Genomic DNA, 18,513 nt, shown 5'->3' with positions numbered 1-18,513 from the left:
TGTCAGGTTCTCTCCTGAGAGCACGCAGGTGAAAGAGCGAGCCGGAGGGACATGGAGGTGAGTGAGCAGGCACTGAGGAGGTGAGTGAGGAGGCTGCGTGGGGCAAAACAATAAAGGTCGCGGAGACTTCAGCAACGTTTGTTGATTTGAAATATGGGGAATTAACGCTTTCAGAAGGCACAGAAAAGGCCACCATGCTGAGGGCCAGAAGACCTGTCTTTTGCCAGCTGTGTGGCCTTGGGCAACCCTTTCTCAGACCCAGTTAACTTCTCTGTCAGATGGGCAGGCCTCTACCTGCCCGGCCAGCCCACCTGCGCTATGAGAGAGATGTGGGTATTGGCTGCTTTGGAGTATCTTAAGGCTGAGCATAGGGGCCTATTTGAGGGCTGAGGCTCCCGCTTGGGAGACCAAAAGGAAACTCGAGCTTATTCTGGATGAATAAGCTACATCCATAGGATGCTCACTGCAGCAGTTTATAAAAGACAAAAAGCAAACAAAACACAAATACTTAAACGTCTAAAGGTTGAAGATTGGTTAAACTGTAGAATATCCATTTCAGGGTGTGATATGTAGTCATTAAATCATGCTTGAAGAGATCTTTTTTCATTAAAAAATGTTCAATTATCAGGCCGGGTGCAGTGGGGCTCATGCCTGTAATCCCAGCACTTTGGGAGGCCGAGGCAGGCGGATCACGAGGTCAGCAGATCGAGACCATCCTGGCTAACACGGTGAAACCTCGTCTCTACTAAAAAAAAAAAAATACAAAAAATTAGCCAGGCGTGGTGGCGGGCACCTGTAGTCCCAGCTACTCGGGAGGCTGAGGCAGGAGAATGGCATGAACCTGGGAGGTGGAGCTTGCAGTGAGCCAAGATGGTGCTACTGCACTCCAGCCTGGGCAACAGAGCAAGACTCCATCTCAAAAAAAAAGAAAAAAAAAAAGTTCAATTATCTGTTAATATCCATTATGGTAAATGAGAGATTTTGGTAAATGAAGTTTCAACCCTCTTACTGCTTTCCCCACATTCCCCATCCTCCTAATGTAGTTAAATCATAATATTTAGTCAAATCAGTGTTAAGCATTTGCTTTATTGTGATTATCTAAATAGTATTCTCTGCTGAGCCATGTAGAGCACTATGTTTATGTTTCCTTTTTTGTACACAGTTACAAATGTATCACACAATAGGTCAAGTTTTTGTTTGTTTGTTTAGAGACAAGGTCTCACTCTCTTGCCCAAGCTGGAGTGCAGTGGTGCAATCAAGCTTCACTGCAGCCTCAAATACCTAGGCTCAAGGGATCCTCCTGCCTCAGTCTCTCCATTAGCTGGGACCTCAGATGTGCACCACCATGCTCTTTTGTAGAGATGCATCTTTTGTAGAGATGGGATCTTTCTGTATTGGCCAGGATGGTCTGGAACACCTGGCTTCAAGCAATCCTCCCTCCTTGGCCTCCCAAAGTGTTATGATTATAGGCGTGAGCCACTGTGCCCAGCCCAGTTTTGAGACTGGACTCCTCCTGGAGTCCTATTCTGCCTGCTCTCTTCCAGAGCTGCCACACAGCTCCCATGCTTGGAGGTGCCTCCCTCTACTGTGTTTCCTGCATCCCATGGATTCTTTGATTTTTTCCCCTCTCATAGGGGAATACATCTTCCAGGAGTTTTTGAGAAAGGGTTCATGAGAGGTGACTTTTCTGGGGTAGATCATCTGAAATGTCTTTATTCCACTCTCACACTGGATTGAGCGTTCAGCTGAGTTTAGAAGTTTCAAGGTGGGAAATTATTTCTCTGAATGTTTAAGGTCTTGCTCCACTGATGTCAGGCTTGCCATGTTGCTGATGCGATGCCCAGAGCCATTCTTATTTCCAGTTATTTGAATGTGACCAGTTTTCCTCCCTTCTGGAAACTTTGGGAGCTTCTCTCGGTCCTGGTGGGCCTTGGTTTGGGCCTCGTCTCCATCTACCTTTTCCAATCAGGACTGGCATTCACATCATCTAGTATTGGAAGATTTTGTATTGCTTCTTTAAACTTTATTCCCTTCACTTTTTCCAGTTATCTCTTTCTGGAACCCCTGTAATCCAGCTTATTTCTCTTGCTTTCATCCTCTAGTTTTCTTTTTCTCTTCTGTTTTCCAGCTTGTTGACTTTTTATTCTGCCCCCTGGGAGGTTCCCTCAGCTTTGCACACCACCTCACCTAGAAATTGTTTTCATTTCTTCTGTCGTATTTTTAAATTTCCAAGTGTTCTTTCTGATTCCAGCATCCTATGCAATATCTTCTCTTCACTCTCAGAGGATATTTATTACAGGCTCTTATGAAGTTTTCCTTTTTTTTTTTTTTTCCATTGACTCGTTTCCTCTTGAGTTTTGTGTTTGTTTTGGCCTCTTTTCAAGTTGGAGGCTGAGCCACCCCTTTGGGTTTGAGACAGACACAAACAAAATGCAAGTGGAAGCTCCATGGGAAGGTGGAGTGTGTTGTCCGGGGGATCTCATTGCGAGGTGACTGGGTGGCCAAGTAACTCTTCACTGGGGACCCTCAAAAATTAGTCCATGGGTTTGTTCTCTCGAGACAAGGCAGTTTTTCCAGAGAGTAAGCCTCTGTATTGTGCAATGAGGCTGGTAGTACTCCCATTCTAGGACACAGGAGGGAAGGGAACTGGGGTGCCACCTTTCAGTATGGAAACTTTCACCTCTGACCCTCTTTGCAATCCAGCAACCCTCCCACTGTGGTCTGGTGACCCCACTTTCTGAGCCCCCTGGTTCAATCTCTCTCATGGGGTGGTGAGGGGTGCTGCCCTCTACAAGGAGGGAAGTGGGGACTTGGGGGTTGAATGACTCCTTCTGTAGACTTTGACTTCATCTTCCTGTTTGCAGTCCTTACCTCCCCTCTGTCCCTTGCTGACTTGTCCCTTTAATTTTTTTATTTATTTTTATTTATTTATTTATTTTTGAGACAGAATCCCACTCTGTCACCCAGGCTGGAGCGCAGTGGCCCGATCTTGGCTCACTTCAACCTCCACCTCCCAGATTCAAGCGATTCTCCTGCCTCAGCCTCCTGAGTAGCTGGGATTACAGGCGCCTGCCACCATGCCTGGCTAATTTTTGTATTTTTAGTAGCTTCGGGGTTTCACCACGTTGGCCAGGCTGGTCTCAAACTCCTGACCTCAGGTGATCCGCCCGCCTCAGCCTCCCAAAGTGCTGGGATTACAGGCATGTGCCCCCATACCTGGCCTTGTCCCTTTAATTCTGAGTCTTGTCACAGCAAGTTCCCTTGCTTCTGTCTCCCCTTCTGCAGATTCTCAATTGCAAATTCTCCCACTCTGCCAAGCCTGGTACATCTCCCTTTCTGCGCGTCCCAGCTGCCTAAACTATATTGACCTTGCATCCGCTGTTGCCTCTCCTGTTCTTTGTTATTGGGGGTTTATTCCTTTTACATTTGGACGTGGATCCAGGTGGGCACAGAAATCAACCTGCCATGTCAAACCAGAGTCCACAAAGGATTTTACTAGCATGGGGTGGGGCTTACACTACAATGTTAGGAGAAAAATGCCATGTGAAGAATATGCTAAGTAAAAAAGAAAAAACTATAGAAAAAAGAAGGTGTAAATGCATCAATGTGGAAACTGTAGTTTTGGTGAGCTCCTGGGTGTGTTTTATTTTCTGCATATACTTCTCTGTGTTTCCCAAATTCCCTACAATAAGTCATGGAATTTTTTTTTTTTTTTTTTTTTGAGATGGAGTCTCGCTCTGTTACCCAGGCTGGAGTGCAGTGGCGTGATCACAGCTCACTGTAACCTCTGCCTCCCGGGTTTAAGCGATTCTCCTGCCTCAGCCTCCCAAGTAGCTGGGAATACAGGTGTGCACCACCACACTCGGCTAATTTTTTTGTGGTTTTAGTAGAGACGTGGTTTCACCATGTTGCCCAGGCTGATCTCGAACTCCTGGACTCAGGGGATCCACCCGCCTCAGCCTCTCAAAATGCTGGAATTACAAGTGTGAGCCACTGCGCCCAGCAACTCATGGAATATTTATGATTGTGTAGGGAAAACCCAACATTTTATATTAAGAAATGGTGACCCGTAGACAAAGAATATTGCAACTGACTAAGGCTTTAAGCAGAAAGAAACTCAGCTCAGTTATTTGAACTCTAGACTTCTATGGGCCCCTTTGAGCACTGTTTGGCCTCAGGTGAGGCCCTGACCTCTGACGTCTCTGCCAGCGCCTGCCCCCCAACATCAGAGGCTCTGTGGGGCTCCAGGCAGGTCAGGCATGAGTCTTTGATGAGATTCATATTTTCTTTTCCCCAGAACTACCTGAAGAAGCAGGTCACACCCCTCTTCATTCACTTCAGAAATAATACCAACAACTGGAGGGAGATCCCAGAAAACCTGATGGACCAGTGAGTGGGAGCTCTCATGGGTTTGGAAGTCCTGGGCACCCCGGGGAGTCAAGAGCAACATCCTGGCAGTGTTCTCTGCCGCAGCTCTCAATGCGGGGGCACCAGGCAGGGAGAGACCCCCACCCAGGAGCAGGGAGGTCCTGCCCTGAGGCTCCATGTGGCCTGAGGGCCCATCGGACCTCTTTATACAAAGACCCAAACTGAAACTCTAGCTCACCCCACTGGCTTGAGGTTATACAGTTTCTAGGTGTTGAAACTGGGGCTGGAGCCTGTTCCTGCCCTTCTGGGTCACAGGGCTGCTTTGGGGACCAAGGAACCTCAGGCCCAAGGCACAAAGCACATACAGCGGGGGTCAGAGGGCCAGTTAGGCCACAGAGCCTTAGGCAGGGTGCCGGCCTGGGGTTGTGTGTCAAGAGGTGAATCTTGGCTGGAGTTCGCCAGGTGTGCTAACCGCGTGTCACCCCTGGGGCAGGTACAGCGAGGTTAATGCCATCAGCACCGCCTGCTCCAACGGAGTTCCAGAGTGTGAGGAGATGGTCTCTGGCCTTTTCAAGCAGTGGATGGAGAACCCCAATAATAACCCGTGAGTGTCTCCCCTGCGCCTCCTCTGCCAGTCTTCATCTGCCCCCAACAGCCCCGTCCTCAGCAGAACCCTGTCCCACCCTCCCCGCTGCTGTTCCACACCTGACCTCCCTACCCCACACCAGGATCCACCCCAACCTGCGGTCCACCGTCTACTGCAACGCTATCGCCCAGGGCGGGGAGGAGGAGTGGGACTTCGCCTGGGAGCAGTTCCGAAATGCCACACTGGTCAATGAGGCTGACAAGCTCCGGGCAGCCCTGGCCTGCAGCAAAGAGTTGTGGATCCTGAACAGGTGAGTCTTGGCGCAGGGTGGGACTGCGAGAGCCCTCTCCCCACCTGGAGAACCAGGCAGGCCTCCACACTCCTCGCCAGATCCTTCACGTGACCCCCACAGACCTGTTGAGGTGGAGGCAGTATTTCCAAAGTAACCGGTGCAGACTGGAAGCTTTAATAAGTGATAGAGACAAGATATGGACTCAGGTCTGGGTCCATGTCCTCTGTTCCTAGCTGCTGTGGCCTCTTAGCCTTTACCTGACAACAACTCGTCTTCCCTTCTGTCAAAGGCTCTGGTGTAGCTGGACCTGGGTCTTTTCAAACATCCAGCTGGGCACCCCCTCAAGCCCTTGGATGAGGGTCCCCACCTCCCACCATGTGCCTCATATGCCATTACCTGGATGCAGTAAAGAAGAGCCACCCTTGGGCAGGGTGTGGTGGCTCATACCTGTAATCCCAGCACTTTGGAAGACTGAGGTGGATGGATCACCTGAGGTCAGGAGTTCGAGACCAGCCTGGCCAACATGGAGAAACCCCGTCTCTACTAAAAATACTAAAAATACAAAAAAAAAAAAAAAATAGGCATGGTGGCACATGCCTGTAATCCCAGCTACCCGGGAGGCTGAGGCAGGAGAATCACTTGAACCTGGCAGGCGAAGGTTACAGTAAGCCCAAATCGCTCCACTGCACTCCAGCCTGGGCGACAGAGTGAGACTCCGTCTCGAAAGAAAAGAAAAGAGAAAAGAAAAGAAAAGAAAAGAAGGGCCACCCTCAGTGTCAAAGACGGGAGTGACCACCCACCTGGTGCCAGGGCTTGGGGCGCTAGGACTCCTTCCTTCATTGATTCATTGTCAAATATTTCTATGTCAGGCATGACACTAGCTTAGCCAGTGACCCTGTGACCCTGCTTAGGTGACTCAGTTTTCCATCTATAGAGGGAAGAAGGACCAAGGGGTCCCTCAGCCCCTGGCAGGCCGAGGGGATGTTGAGAGGATGCAGGCATAGGTGATGTGCGTGGGACAGTCCAAGTTCTCTCCTGAGTCACCTGAATTAGCAGTAGCTGAGACAGCATCTGGCCCTCTTAGGTACCTGAGCTACACCCTGAACCCGGACTTAATCCGGAAGCAGGACGCCACCTCTACCATCATCAGCATTACCAACAACGTCATTGGGCAAGGTCTGGTCTGGGACTTTGTCCAGAGCAACTGGAAGAAGCTTTTTAACGAGTGAGTCTGTGGAATGGGTGTCAGGGACAGCGAGCGCCGAGGCTGGGGCCCCGGGGGGTGGCCTGTGCGGGTAAGACACGCCGGGGGCACTAACCAGAAGTGGACAAAAATCAGCCAAGCCTGGGGGCTAGGGTGGGGCAGGAATGGAAAGACAAGCTGGGGTATGGGCCGTCCCTTTTCCCATTTGGAAGGAAAACGTGGCGTGTGGGCGTATTCTCCAGAAGAGAGGGGAGTGAGGAACTCGGCAGTCAGACCTGTGTTCAAGCTGTGACTCCCCCACATCCTAGTGGGGTCTCCCAGGGCGTGTCATTTCATCTCCTCTATAATCATGGCTCCCTACCCAGTAGGTGTGAGGATGAGCCTCCTTAGTTCCCGGCCTCCCTCACAGTTCACCTCTCTCCCTCCCTGCAGTTATGGTGGTGGCTCGTTCTCCTTCTCCAACCTCATCCAGGCAGTGACACGACGATTCTCCACCGAGTATGAGCTGCAGCAGGTAAGAAGTCATTCCCCAGACCTGGGCTCTGCCTACTTCCTTCCCAGGCCAAAGGGGCACTCCATTCTTCTCCCACGTGGCCCTGAGGGAGCACAGGCTCCACGCCGCCAGGCCTTCCTCATTTACAGAGGAAGCCGAGTAGCCAGACTTTGGAAATGTTGATAATTCAATTTAAAAAATTCATCTTGGGATTTTTGTATAGGCACAAAAGGGAAGAGTGGTATAATGAACCTCCATGTACCCGTTACCCAGGTTCAACAATTATCAACATTTTGCCAGTACTTTTTCCGGGCGGGCAATTTTTAAGCAAATCACTGATCATGTAATTTTACCTCTAAATAATTTAGTCATATGAAAAATAAACGCATTCTTTTATTTTTTTTATTTTTTATTTTTTTTTTGAGATGGAGTCTTGCTCTGTCACCCAGGCTGGAGTGCAGTGGTGCGATCTGGGCTCACTGCAAGCTCCGCCTCCCGGGTTCACGTCATTCTCCTGCCTCAGCTTCCTGAGTAGCTGGGACTACAAGTGCCCGCCACCGCGCCTGGCTAATTTTTTTGTATTTTTAGTAGAGATGGGGTTTCACCATGGTCTCGATCTCCTGACCTCATGATCTGCCTGCCTCGGCCTCCCAAAGTGCTGGGATTACAGGCGTGAGCCACGGCGTCCAGCTTTTTTTTTTTTTTGAGACTGAGTCTCGCTCTGTCATGCAGGCTGGAGTGGTGCAGTGGTATGATCTCGGCTCACTGCAACCTCTGCCTCTGGGGTTCAATCAATTCTCCTGCCTCAGCTTCCCGAGTAGCTGGGATTACAGGCATGCGCCCCCACACCCGGCTAATTTTTGTATTTTTAGTAGAGACGAGGTTTCACCATGTTGGCCAGGCTGGTCTCGAACTCCTGACCTCAAGTGATCCACCCACCTCGGTCTCCCAAAGTGCTGAGATTACAGGTGTGAGCCACTGCGCCCAGCAATAAAGGGATTCTTAAAACATAATCACACTGTCCTTAGCAAACCCAGGAAAATGATTATCTTCTTACTATCATATACCCAAGGCATATTCAAATTTTCTAAGTTGTTTATAAAAGGTCTTTTTACAATTGATATATATGCTTGAATTAGAAGCTTGACAAAGTCAACTTGGATTAAGTTAGTTTGTCTTTTTTAAAAATTGAGATATAATTTGCTGGGCGTGGTGGCTCACACCTGTAGTCCCAGCACTTTAGGAGGCTAAGGTGGGTGGATCACCTGAGGTCGGGAGTTCCAGACCAGCGTGGCCAACATGGTGAAACCCTGTCTCTACTAAAAATACAAAAATTAGCTGGGTGTGGTGGGGGGTGCCTGTAGTCCCAGCTACTCGGGAGGCTGTGGCAGAATAATTGCCTGAATCCAGGAGGCGGAGGTTGCAGTGAACCAAGATTGTGCCACTGCACTCCAGCTTGGGCGACAGAGTGAGACTCTGTCTCAAAAAAAAAAAATTGATATATAATTCATGGACCATCAAACTCACCATTTTAAGTGGTTTTCAGTAAACTAACAAGGTAGGGTGGGTGGGGTGCTTCATGCCTGTAATCCCAGCACTTTGGGAGGCCAACGCAGGAGGATCCCTTGAACCCAGGAGTTTGAGACCAGCCTGGGCAATATCATAAGATCTCATCTCTAAATAAATAAATAAATAAATAAATAAATAAATAAATAAGCTGGGCATGGTGGTGCATACCTGTAGTCCTAGCTACTCAGGAGACTGAGGTGAGAGGATCGCTTGAACCAGGAAGGCAGAGGTTGCAGTGAGCGGAGGTGGTGCCACCGCATTCCAGCCTGGGTGACAGAGCAAGACCCTGTCTCAAAAAACCAAAACCAAACCAAACCAAACAAACAAACAGAAAAAAACCATGTGGTACAACCATCACTACTGTCTAATTCCAGAACATTTTTATTACGCCAAAAAAAAACCTTGTACTCATTAGCAGTCACTCCTTATTCCTACCTGGTCCCCTCAGCCCCTGGCAACCACTAATATACTTTCTGTCTCTATGGATTTATTACCTATTCTGGATGTTTCATAAAATGGAATCATATACACACAGCCTTTTTGTGTCTGTCTGCCTTCTTTCACTTAGTGTAATGTTTTCAAGATTCATGCATACGGTAGCAGGGATCATTCTTTTTTATGGCTGAATAATGGTCCATTACATGGATGTACCACATTTTGTTTTCAGCTCATCATTGATGGGCATTTGGGTTGTTTCAGTCTTCTGGCTGTGATGAATATCATGGACCTTCACGTGCAAATTTTGTACAAACATGTTTTAATTTATCTTGGGTATACACCTAGGAGCGGAATTGCTGGGTCATTTGGTTACTCTGTGTTTAACTTTTTGAGAAACTGACAAAATGTTTTCCAAAGCAACTGTACCATTGTCCATTCCTATTAGCAGTGTATCACATGAGGGTTCTAATTGCTCCATGTCTACACTTATCTCTCTTTCCCTCTTTTTTTAGTATAGTCATCTAGTGGGTAGGAAGTGGTATCATTATGGTTTTCAGTTATATCTCCCTAATGAGTAATGAATGACATGATGTTGAATATTTCATGTGCTTATTGGCCTTATACACATTTGTGTATCTTTGGAGAAATGGGTAAAACTGACTATTTTTCTTTTCGAGAGAGGGTCTTACTATGTTGCCTAGGTTGTCCTTAAATTCCTGGGCTCAAGCAACCCTCCCACTTCAGCCTTCTGAGTAGCTTGGATTACAGGCATGTGCCACTGTGCCCAGTCTTTTGCTATTTTAAAATTGGGTTGTCTTTTTATTGTAAGAGTTCTTTATATATTCTGAATATTAGACCCTTAATCAGAGATAGGGTTTGCAAGTATTTCTCCCATTCTATGGACTGTCTTTTCACTCACTTAATAGGTCTTTTGATACCCAAAATTTTAAATCTTGATGAAATCCTATTTATCTGTTTTTTTTCCCTTTGGTTGCTTATACTTTATGTATCATATCTAAGAAAGTATTGTCTAACCCAAGGTCATGAAGATTTATACCTATTTTTTTATTTCAAAAAAATTTTTCAAACCCACAAAAGACCTGACGATGTTTTTTCTAAGAGTTTTATTGGCCAGGCATGGCGGCTCACGCCTGTAATCCCAGCACTTTGGGAGGCCAAGGCAGGTGGATCATGAGGTCAGGAGTTCAAGACCAGCCTGGCCAAGATGGTGAAACCCCGTCCCTACTAAAAAATACGAAAATTAGCTGGATGCAGTGGCGGGCGCCTGTAATCCCAGCTACTCGGGAGGCTGAGGCAGGAGAATTGCTTGAACCCGGGAGGCGGAGTTTGCAGTGAGCTGAGATCGCACCACTGCACTCTAGCCTGGATGACAGAGCAAGACTCTGCCTCAAAAAAAAAAAAAAAAAAAAAAAGAGTTTTATTATGTTTTCACTCAAACGTAGGCATTTGATCTATTTTGACTTAATATTTGTATATGATATGAGGTTGGGGTCCAACTTCATTCCTTTTGCATGTGGATATCCGGTTGTCCAAGTCCCATTTGTTGAAAAGACTGTTCTTCTCCCACTGAATGGTCTTGGCAACCTAGTTGAAAATCAATTGACGGTAAATATAAGGGTTTGTTTTTGGATTCTCAATTCTATTTCATTCATCTATATTTGCATCCTTATGCCTGTACCATACTGTCCTGATTACTATAGTTTTGTAGTGAGTTTTAAAATTGGGAAGTGTGAGTCCTCCAATTTGCTTTTTTTTTTTTTGAGAAAGGGTCTCACTCTGTCACCCAGGCTGGAGTACAGTGGTGAGATCACAGCTCACTGCAGCCTCAACTTCCCAGGCTCAGGTGATCCCCCCACCTCAACCTCCTGAGTAGTTGGGACTATAGGCACATGCCACCATGCCCGGCTAATGTTCTGTATTTTTCTGCAGAGACAGGGTTTCACCATCTTGCCCAGGCTGGCCAACTGTGTTCTTTTTCAATATTGTTTTGGCTATTCTGGGTCCCTTGCAATTTCTTATGCATTTTAGGATCACTGATCAATTTCCGCAAAAAAAAAAAAAAAAAAGTAGTTAAAATTTTGATGGGATTGAATCTCTAGAGCAATATGGGGACTATTGCCATCTTAATGATGCTAAATCTTCCAGTCCATGGACACAGATTTATTTGGGTCTTTTTTCTTTTTACTTAGGTGTTCTTTAATTTCTTTCAAAAATGTTTTGTAGTTTTTGGCATTCCAGTCTTGCACTTATTTTGTCAAATTTATTCCTAAATATTTTATTCTTGTTGATGCTATCGTAAATGGAATTGTTTTCTTAATTTCATTTTCAGGTTTTTCATTGCTAATGTATGGGAATACAATTGATATTTGTGTATTGCTCTTGTATCCTGCAACCTTGCAGAAATCATTAGTTCTAATAGATTTTTTAATGGATTCCTTAAAATTTTTATGTATGCAAACATGTCATACACATAGTTTTACTTCTTCCTTTCTGGATTCCTTTCATTTCATTCTCTTGGCTGATTGCCTGGCTAGAACCTCCAGGACTGATAACTCTTCTAATTTGTAGGAGTATTTTTTTTTTAAACCCATTTATTTACTGAAGCAACTGGATCATTTGTGGTATAGAAATTTCCACATTTTAGATTTGGCTGGTTGCTTCATTAGCCCCTCTCTACTCTCTTGATTGGATTGATATTATAATAAAATATTACACCTGAAGGCCAGAATCTCCCTGAGCCAGGTTTTGCCTGGGATTGTCATTTTGCAACCTCTGTGTTCACAAGGACTTTGCCCGGGAGCAAGGTGGACGTCCTGCCTATCCCTGGAACAGGGTGTGGTCCCATCCATGGGGACTCTAAAGTGGGAGTGGAAAGCCAGAGGCCTGAGAGAGCTCCTCCTCAAGGCTGTTAGGGACCCAGCCGGACTGAGAATCTTTTGTTTTTCTGGCAGCTGGAGCAGTTCAAGAAGGACAACGAGGAAACAGGCTTCGGCTCAGGCACCCGGGCCCTGGAGCAAGCCCTGGAGAAGACGAAAGCCAACATCAAGTGGGTGAAGGAGAACAAGGAGGTGGTGCTCCAGTGGTTCACAGAAAACAGCAAATAGTCCCCAGCCCTTGAAGTCACCCGGCCCCCATGCAAGGTGCCCACATGTGTCCATCCCAGCGGCTGGTGCAGGGCCTCCATTCCTGGAGCCCGAGGCACCAGTGTCCTCCCCTCAAGGACAAAGTCTCCAGCCCACGTTCTCTCTGCCTGTGAGCCAGTCTAGTTCCTGATGACCCAGGCTGCCTGAGCACCTCCCAGCCCCTGCCCCTCATGCCAACCCCGCCCTAGGCCTGGCATGGCACCTGTCGCCCAGTGCCCTGGGGCTGATCTCAGGGAAGCCCAGCTCCAGGGCCAGATGAGCAGAAGCTCTCGATGGACAATGAACGGCCTTGCTGGGGGCCGCCCTGTACCCTCTTTCACCTTTCCCTAAAGACCCTAAATCTGAGGAATCAACAGGGCAGCAGATCTGTATATTTTTTTCTAAGAGAAAATGTAAATAAAGGATTTCTAGATGAGTGAGACTCATTACTAAACTAAAGCAGGAGTGGGTCAATACAGCAGCTGGGGAGGCCGGGTGGGGGAAGCTGGGTGCATGCGGAGCACCGTGGAGTCTGGGACCCCAGAGCACAGGAGGGGAGACGTGCCCAGCCTGCCGGCCCTTCCTGCAGGTGCCCTGCGCCTGTGCCTCCATGTCTGCCTGCAGGACTCCGGGCTCCTTTTCATGCTCTATTGACTGAGCTAGCTGGGTGGTTTGCAGGGCTCCTTTTATTCCTATTCTGATGGCAGCTGGAGCTGCTGGGTGGTGGGGAGCTGTGGACCCAGTGCTCCCGCAGTGAGTGGTGAGAGGGGCCCTGGCAGAGCGCAGGGAGTGCTCTCCAGGAAGCACCCTCCTTAACATGAGGCAAGGGTGCAGGGTGCTGGCCGTGCCCCTCTTCCTGCTCCACGGGAACACCTGGGATACCTGGGACAATGCGGGACAGGTCTGTGCAGTGAAGGCAGCAAGCACAGGGTCCCATACCTGGTGCCACCCTTCACTGGCCAAGGGCACGCCCCACCGTCTTCCGTGGTGGAAGGGTGGAGTGGGGTGTGGGTACCAATGCATAAAGAGGTTGTTTTCTAGAGCAGCACACAGGGATGGGCTGGGCTGAGGAGCAGGCAAACCATGGGGTGGGGACAGCTTTGCCAGGCTCATAAAGTGGGGGCTGTGCCCTCCACATCGCCTGGGGCAGAAGATGGTCAGGGCCAACTCTGAGAAGGCCTGGGACCAGCGCAGCTCCACGCACACATTGGCCCTGGTGAGCATTTCTTGACAAATGGAGCCCCACTGTGGCAGGCTCCCCTCAGCCTCTGCCCCGCAAGGCCCAGTTGAACATCCAAGGCTGAGAGGAGGGGGAGAAGGCGGGAACAGCCACAGGGGTCCTTAGGAGTCACCTCCAACAGACACCCACAGCCAGCTCCGCAGGCTGGAATCATGGAGTCCAGCAGGTCTGGTTTCAGTTTCTTAGACAAGGGACCCACATGCCCAAGCCTAGGTCTCATCTGCACAACGAGGCAGTGTCAGAGCTGTTGGGCTGGTGTGTGGATTGAAGGAGATACATGTACTTAGCAAATGGCCTGACGCATAAGGAGAGCTGGGTTTTATTATCACCCTTGGCCCTCTTCCCCCTTGTGAGAAGCAGGCAGGCCTGGGGCCAGGAAGGCCCCCCATCCCCCACCACCATCTGCACATCAAAGAGTAGGGTGAGCTAAGGGCGGAGGCCAGCCCGGATGATGGTGCTCTGTCCCTCCACCAGCCAGGAGGCTCCCTGGGCCGCCCCAGATTAAGCTCCGCCAGCCACTTTGGGCCAACCCTTCCTGTCGCCAGTACCCAGCGGCCGTGGCTGGCACTTGACCTTCTGGGGACCAGCTGTGGGAGGGGCCGGCCTCACCATCTTGAGTTTCTAATGGGCTCTAGGATCCCTGGACATTGCAGAGGAGAGAGCTGGCCTGCCAGGGAGAAGAGTTTATGCACATTATTTCATTTAGTTCTAAACCGTACCATGAGATAAGGAATATCTTTATGTCAGCTTTACAGATAAGGAAACTGCAGGGCAAGGAGATGAAGTCACAACTCAGTAGAACTGAACTGGAACCACTGTCTGGCTTTACTCCCTGCACAGAAGTGGAAGCCAGTTCTCCATCTGGAGCTGGGGTGGAGTGCGTGACGTCTATACTGCCATGCTTGTGCCGTTACTGGAAAGAGGTCTCGATCCTTGGAGCCCATGCAAGAAAGAATTCAGGGCAAGTCCATAAAATGAAAGCAAGTTATTAAGAAAGGAAAGGAATCAAAGAATGGCTACTACACAGGCAGGGCAGCAGCATGGGCTGCTCAACTGAGTAAACTTAAGAGCTATTTCTTGATTTTTTTTTTCTTTTTTTTTTGAGACGGAGTTTCATTCTTGTTGCCCAGGCTGGAGTGCAATGGTGCGATCTTGGCTCACCACAACCTCCGCCTCCTGGGTTCAAGCGATTCTCCTGCCTCAGCTTCCCAAGTAGCTGGGATTACAGGCATGCACCACCATGCCCGGCTAATTTTGTATTTTTATTAGAGATGGGGTTTCTCGACCCCAGGAGATCCGCCCACCTCAGCCTCTCAAAGTGCTGGGATCATAGGCGTGAGCCACCGCGCCCAGCCTTATTTCTTGATTATATGCTAAACAAGGGGTGGATTATTCATGAGTTTTTTGGGAAAGAAGTGGGGATTTCCCAGAACTGAGGGTTTCTCCCTTTTTTAGACCATACAGGGTAACTTCTGCATATTGCTGTGGCATTTGTGAACGGTCATACGCTGGTGGGAGTGTCTGTTAGCAGCTAAGGTATTATAATCAGCGCATAATGAGCAGTGAGGATGACCAAAGGTCACTTTTGTCACCATCTTGGTTTTGGCGGGTTTTGGCTGGTTTCTTTACTGCATGCTGTTTTATCAGCAAGGTCTTTGTGACCTGTATCTTATGCCGATCTCCTGTCTCATCCTGTGACTAAGAATGCCTAACCTCCTGGGAATGCAGCCCAGCAGGTCTCAGCCTCATTTTGCCTAGCCCCTATTCAAGATGGAATCGCTCTGGTTCAAACACCTCTGACGATGCCACCTGGCAGTGTACAATGCTGGCACTCATCAGGACCTCCATGGCTGATCCTGGAATGCAGTGAGGATACACAGAGCCAGAGGAATGCCTGCAGAGCCTTGGTCAAGGTCAAAGAGCAGGAACCAACTAGAACTCTGGCGGCTGATTCCCTGCCCAGCGCTCTTGCCTGCCCTCAGCACTCAAGTCCAGCAGGAATGGAAGGTGCTGAGGCTCTGTAGGCAGCAGCCTTGGTGGCTCCTCTGACTCAGCCTTTCGAGACTGTGGAGTCAGCATAGCTAACGCAATCTTTCATTTTCTTTTTCCTTTTTTTGTTTTGTTTTTTTTTTTTTTTGGAGACAGAGTCTCACTCTATCGCCTAGGCTTGCAGTGGCACGATCTCGCTCACCGCAACCTCCACCTCCTGGGCTCAAGCGATTTTCCTGCCTCAGCCTCTTGAGTAGCTGGGATTACAGGCGCTCACTACCACGCCAGGCTAATTTTTTGTATTTTTAGTAGAGACGGGGTTTCACCATGCTGGCCGGGCTGGTCTCAAATTCCTGACCTCAAGTGATCACCCCACCTTGGCATCCCAAAGTGCTGGGATTACAGGCGTGAGCCACCATGCCTGGCCTCAGTACTCATTTTATTGAGCACTTACTATGTGCCAAGTATTAAAACCCTGAGAGGTAGGTCTATTATTGTCTCCACTTCACAGTTGAAGAAACTGAGGCTCAGGGAGGTTCCAAAGCTTATCTGTCAGTCTCACTTGGTTACACAGCAAGTAAGAGCCGAGTAGAATGCGCAACCTGGGCCCCAATGCTGTGTGTCTACTCTAACCTTGCCTGGATTTTTCTCATCCTTCCAGCTGTGGCTGACAGCCCCTCGGGACAGCAGGGCCCTAAGGGCAGAACCAGAGCACTTCTGGAAGGTTAGAGGAAGAAGGTACCTCAGCACCACCCAAGATAGTTCCTCCTTTAGGAACTGTGAAAACTGAAGCTCAGAAAGAGTGACTTGCCTGATGCCACAGGGCGTGTCAGAGGCAACGGGCAACCTTGCAGGATGAGAGGGGAAAGCCCCACACGCCAAGAGCTCAAGCCCAGGAAATCAGGCAGCTCATGCTCTGTGCTGCCTCTCCCTTTCTCTCAAGCTGGACTGTTGCAGTGGCCTCCTGCCTGGTTCCATTTCTATGAAGCGGCCGAAGGGACTGAGAGCAGACTTCTTACCAGCTCACCCCCAACTCCCAACCCTCAGTGCTGCCCATCATTCGGGAAACGGAGGCCAAAACCTCATCACCCACCACGTGGAACTCCCCACAAACTTGCCTCCAAGCCCCTTTCCGGCTCTGTTTGCCACTTTTCTCTGTCATCTCTAGACACTAGACGCTTCTGTTTCGACTTGGCTCATGCTGTTGCTCCTGCCTGGACCTCTCTTCCCTCACTCCTCTTGATAAACTCCTGCATATCCTTCAACACCCAGCTCCAAGGTCACCTCTTCTGCACTCTCTCCTCCCTGAGTCAGCAGATACAGAAGGAAGTTACCACCACTGCTGGCTCCCATGCCCACGGGAGCCTTTGCTAATAGATCTTGGCATCCTTTTCCCAAGATCCTGGCAGTGCCTCTTACTCTTAAGACACCGCAATCAAGGCAGCAGGACTAAGGAATCAGGTAACTCAAGAATGAGATGGTACTGCCAACCTCGCCTCCCACCAGGTTACCGCATCCTGGTCCCTAAGCACCTCACACAAACCCCCATCCTTGTGTTTAGGACCTGGGCTCTGATCATTTATTTCCCTGTAATTCACATTAGTTGGGGAATATTTTCTCTCTGGCACCTAACACATGGTGTTATGGGCTGAATTATGTCCCCATAAAATTCCTGTATGGCTGAGCGCAGTGGCTCATGCCTGTAATAGCAGCACTTTGGGAGGCTGAGGCGGCTGAACTGTGTTCCCATAAAATTCCTATGTCTGGCTGGGCGTGGTGGCTCACGCCTGTAATCCCAGCACTTTGGGACGCCTTGGCGGGTGGACCATTGGAGGTTAGGGGTTCAAGACCAGCCTGGCCAACATGGTGAAACCCTGTCTCTACTAAAAGTACAAAAAGTAGCCAGCCATGGTGGCAGGCACCTAGGCCAGCTACTAGGGAAACTGAGGCAGGAGAATCACTTGAGCCTGGGAGGCAGAGGTTGCAGTGAGCTGAGATCATGCCACTGCACTCCAGCCTGGGCGACAGAGTGAGACTCCCTCTCAAAAAAAAAGAAAAAAAAAATTTCCTATGTTTGGCTGGGTGTGGTGGCTCACACCTGTAATCCCAGCACTTTGGGAGGCCGAGGCAGGTGGATCACTTGAGGTCAGGAGTTCGAGACCAGCCTGGCCAACATGGTGAAACCCTGTCTCTACTGAAAATACAAAAATTAGCCGGGCATGGTGGCAGGCATCTGTAATCCCAGCTACTCAGGAGGCTGAGGCAGGAGAATCGCTTGAACCCGGGAGGCAGAGGTTGCAGTGAGCCGAGATTGCACCATTGCACTCCAGCCTGGACGACAGAGCAAGACTCTGTCTCAAAAAAAAAAAAAAAAAAGAAGTTTCTTATGTTTAAGCCCTAACATCCAATACTTCGGAATGTAACTGTGACTGTATTAGAAGAAAGATCCCTAAAAGAGTAAATACAGTTAAATGGGTCCCTTAGGGTAGGTCCTGATCCAACATGACTAGTGCCCTTATAAGAAATCAGGACACAGACAATAGAGACAGATGTGTGACCATGTAGGGGCTCAACGAACAGGCAGTCATCTGCAAGCCACAGAGAGAGGCCCCAGAAGAAACTGAACCTGCCTACACCTTGATCTTGGACTTCTAGCCTCCAGAATTGTGAGAAAATAAATTTCTGTTGTTTAAGCCACCCAGTCTGTGGTTGTTGTTTTTTTAAGTTTTTTGTAGGGACAAGGTCTTGCTATGTTGCCCAGGCTGGTCTCGAATTCCTGGCCTCAAGGGATCCTCCCACCTCAGCCTCTCAAAGTGCTGGGATTACAGGCGTAAGCCACTGCACTCAGCCCGTGGCATTCTAGTATGGCAGCCCTCGCAAACTAATACACTGGGCCTAGCACGTAGGAACCACTCCCAGTATTCTTTGAAGAAAATTTCATGTCATTGTGAAAGAGCCCTAAATGACAGGTCTCTGGGACTGTGGTCTCCCCATTTGGGGCTCCTGTCTGTCTGTCCACAGCTGCATGCACCCACCCCAGCAGTCACCAGGAATGCACCCGAAGAACACAAAAGGGCAGTGGTGATGTGGCTGAGGCAAGTGGGCAGGCCCAAGCTTAGCCCACCTGTGCTACCTTGCACAGCAAGCCAGGTGGAGCTTTTGGCCCTGGAGCTCCAGTGCAATAAATATGG

At 49.0% G+C, this 18,513-nt stretch overlaps 1 protein-coding gene across 3 annotated transcripts in view, besides 5 other annotated features; it reads left to right on the top strand.

Annotated features, from left to right (window-relative positions):
• Window positions 1-12,529, top strand: part of ANPEP (alanyl aminopeptidase, membrane) — a 29,958-nt gene extending 17,429 nt beyond the window's left edge. For all 3 annotated transcript variants that reach the window (NM_001150.3, NM_001381923.1, NM_001381924.1), the window contains 6 exons: window positions 4,298-4,389; window positions 4,862-4,972; window positions 5,097-5,264; window positions 6,331-6,471; window positions 6,883-6,964; window positions 11,923-12,529. In NM_001150.3, the coding sequence (NP_001141.2) occupies window positions 4,298-4,389; window positions 4,862-4,972; window positions 5,097-5,264; window positions 6,331-6,471; window positions 6,883-6,964; window positions 11,923-12,075 (747 nt within the window). In that variant the 3' untranslated portion in view covers window positions 12,076-12,529. The remainder of the gene's footprint in view (window positions 1-4,297; window positions 4,390-4,861; window positions 4,973-5,096; window positions 5,265-6,330; window positions 6,472-6,882; window positions 6,965-11,922) is intronic.
• Window positions 4,637-5,137: an enhancer, noted in NCBI's record as "H3K4me1 hESC enhancer chr15:90335518-90336018 (GRCh37/hg19 assembly coordinates)". NCBI's record gives its function as "activates a minimal SCP1, AML or CMV promoter by ChIP-STARR-seq in primed H9 embryonic stem cells {active_cell/tissue: H9 hESC(primed)}" and the evidence as "EXISTENCE:reporter gene assay evidence [ECO:0000049][PMID:30033119]".
• Window positions 12,375-13,037: an enhancer, noted in NCBI's record as "H3K4me1 hESC enhancer chr15:90327618-90328280 (GRCh37/hg19 assembly coordinates)". NCBI's record gives its function as "activates a minimal SCP1, AML or CMV promoter by ChIP-STARR-seq in primed H9 embryonic stem cells {active_cell/tissue: H9 hESC(primed)}" and the evidence as "EXISTENCE:reporter gene assay evidence [ECO:0000049][PMID:30033119]".
• Window positions 13,038-13,699: an enhancer, noted in NCBI's record as "NANOG-H3K4me1 hESC enhancer chr15:90326956-90327617 (GRCh37/hg19 assembly coordinates)". NCBI's record gives its function as "activates a minimal SCP1, AML or CMV promoter by ChIP-STARR-seq in primed H9 embryonic stem cells {active_cell/tissue: H9 hESC(primed)}" and the evidence as "EXISTENCE:reporter gene assay evidence [ECO:0000049][PMID:30033119]".
• Window positions 13,700-14,362: an enhancer, noted in NCBI's record as "NANOG-H3K4me1 hESC enhancer chr15:90326293-90326955 (GRCh37/hg19 assembly coordinates)". NCBI's record gives its function as "activates a minimal SCP1, AML or CMV promoter by ChIP-STARR-seq in primed H9 embryonic stem cells {active_cell/tissue: H9 hESC(primed)}" and the evidence as "EXISTENCE:reporter gene assay evidence [ECO:0000049][PMID:30033119]".
• Window positions 15,427-15,486: an enhancer, noted in NCBI's record as "active region_10055". NCBI's record gives its function as "activates an Ori minimal core promoter by ATAC-STARR-seq in GM12878 lymphoblastoid cells {active_cell/tissue: GM12878}" and the evidence as "EXISTENCE:reporter gene assay evidence [ECO:0000049][PMID:35858748]".

Source organism: Homo sapiens, chromosome 15, assembly GCF_000001405.40.
Source record: "Homo sapiens chromosome 15, GRCh38.p14 Primary Assembly".
NCBI lineage: Eukaryota > Metazoa > Chordata > Mammalia > Primates > Hominidae > Homo > Homo sapiens.
This window is presented reverse-complemented; position numbering and strand designations above follow the sequence as displayed.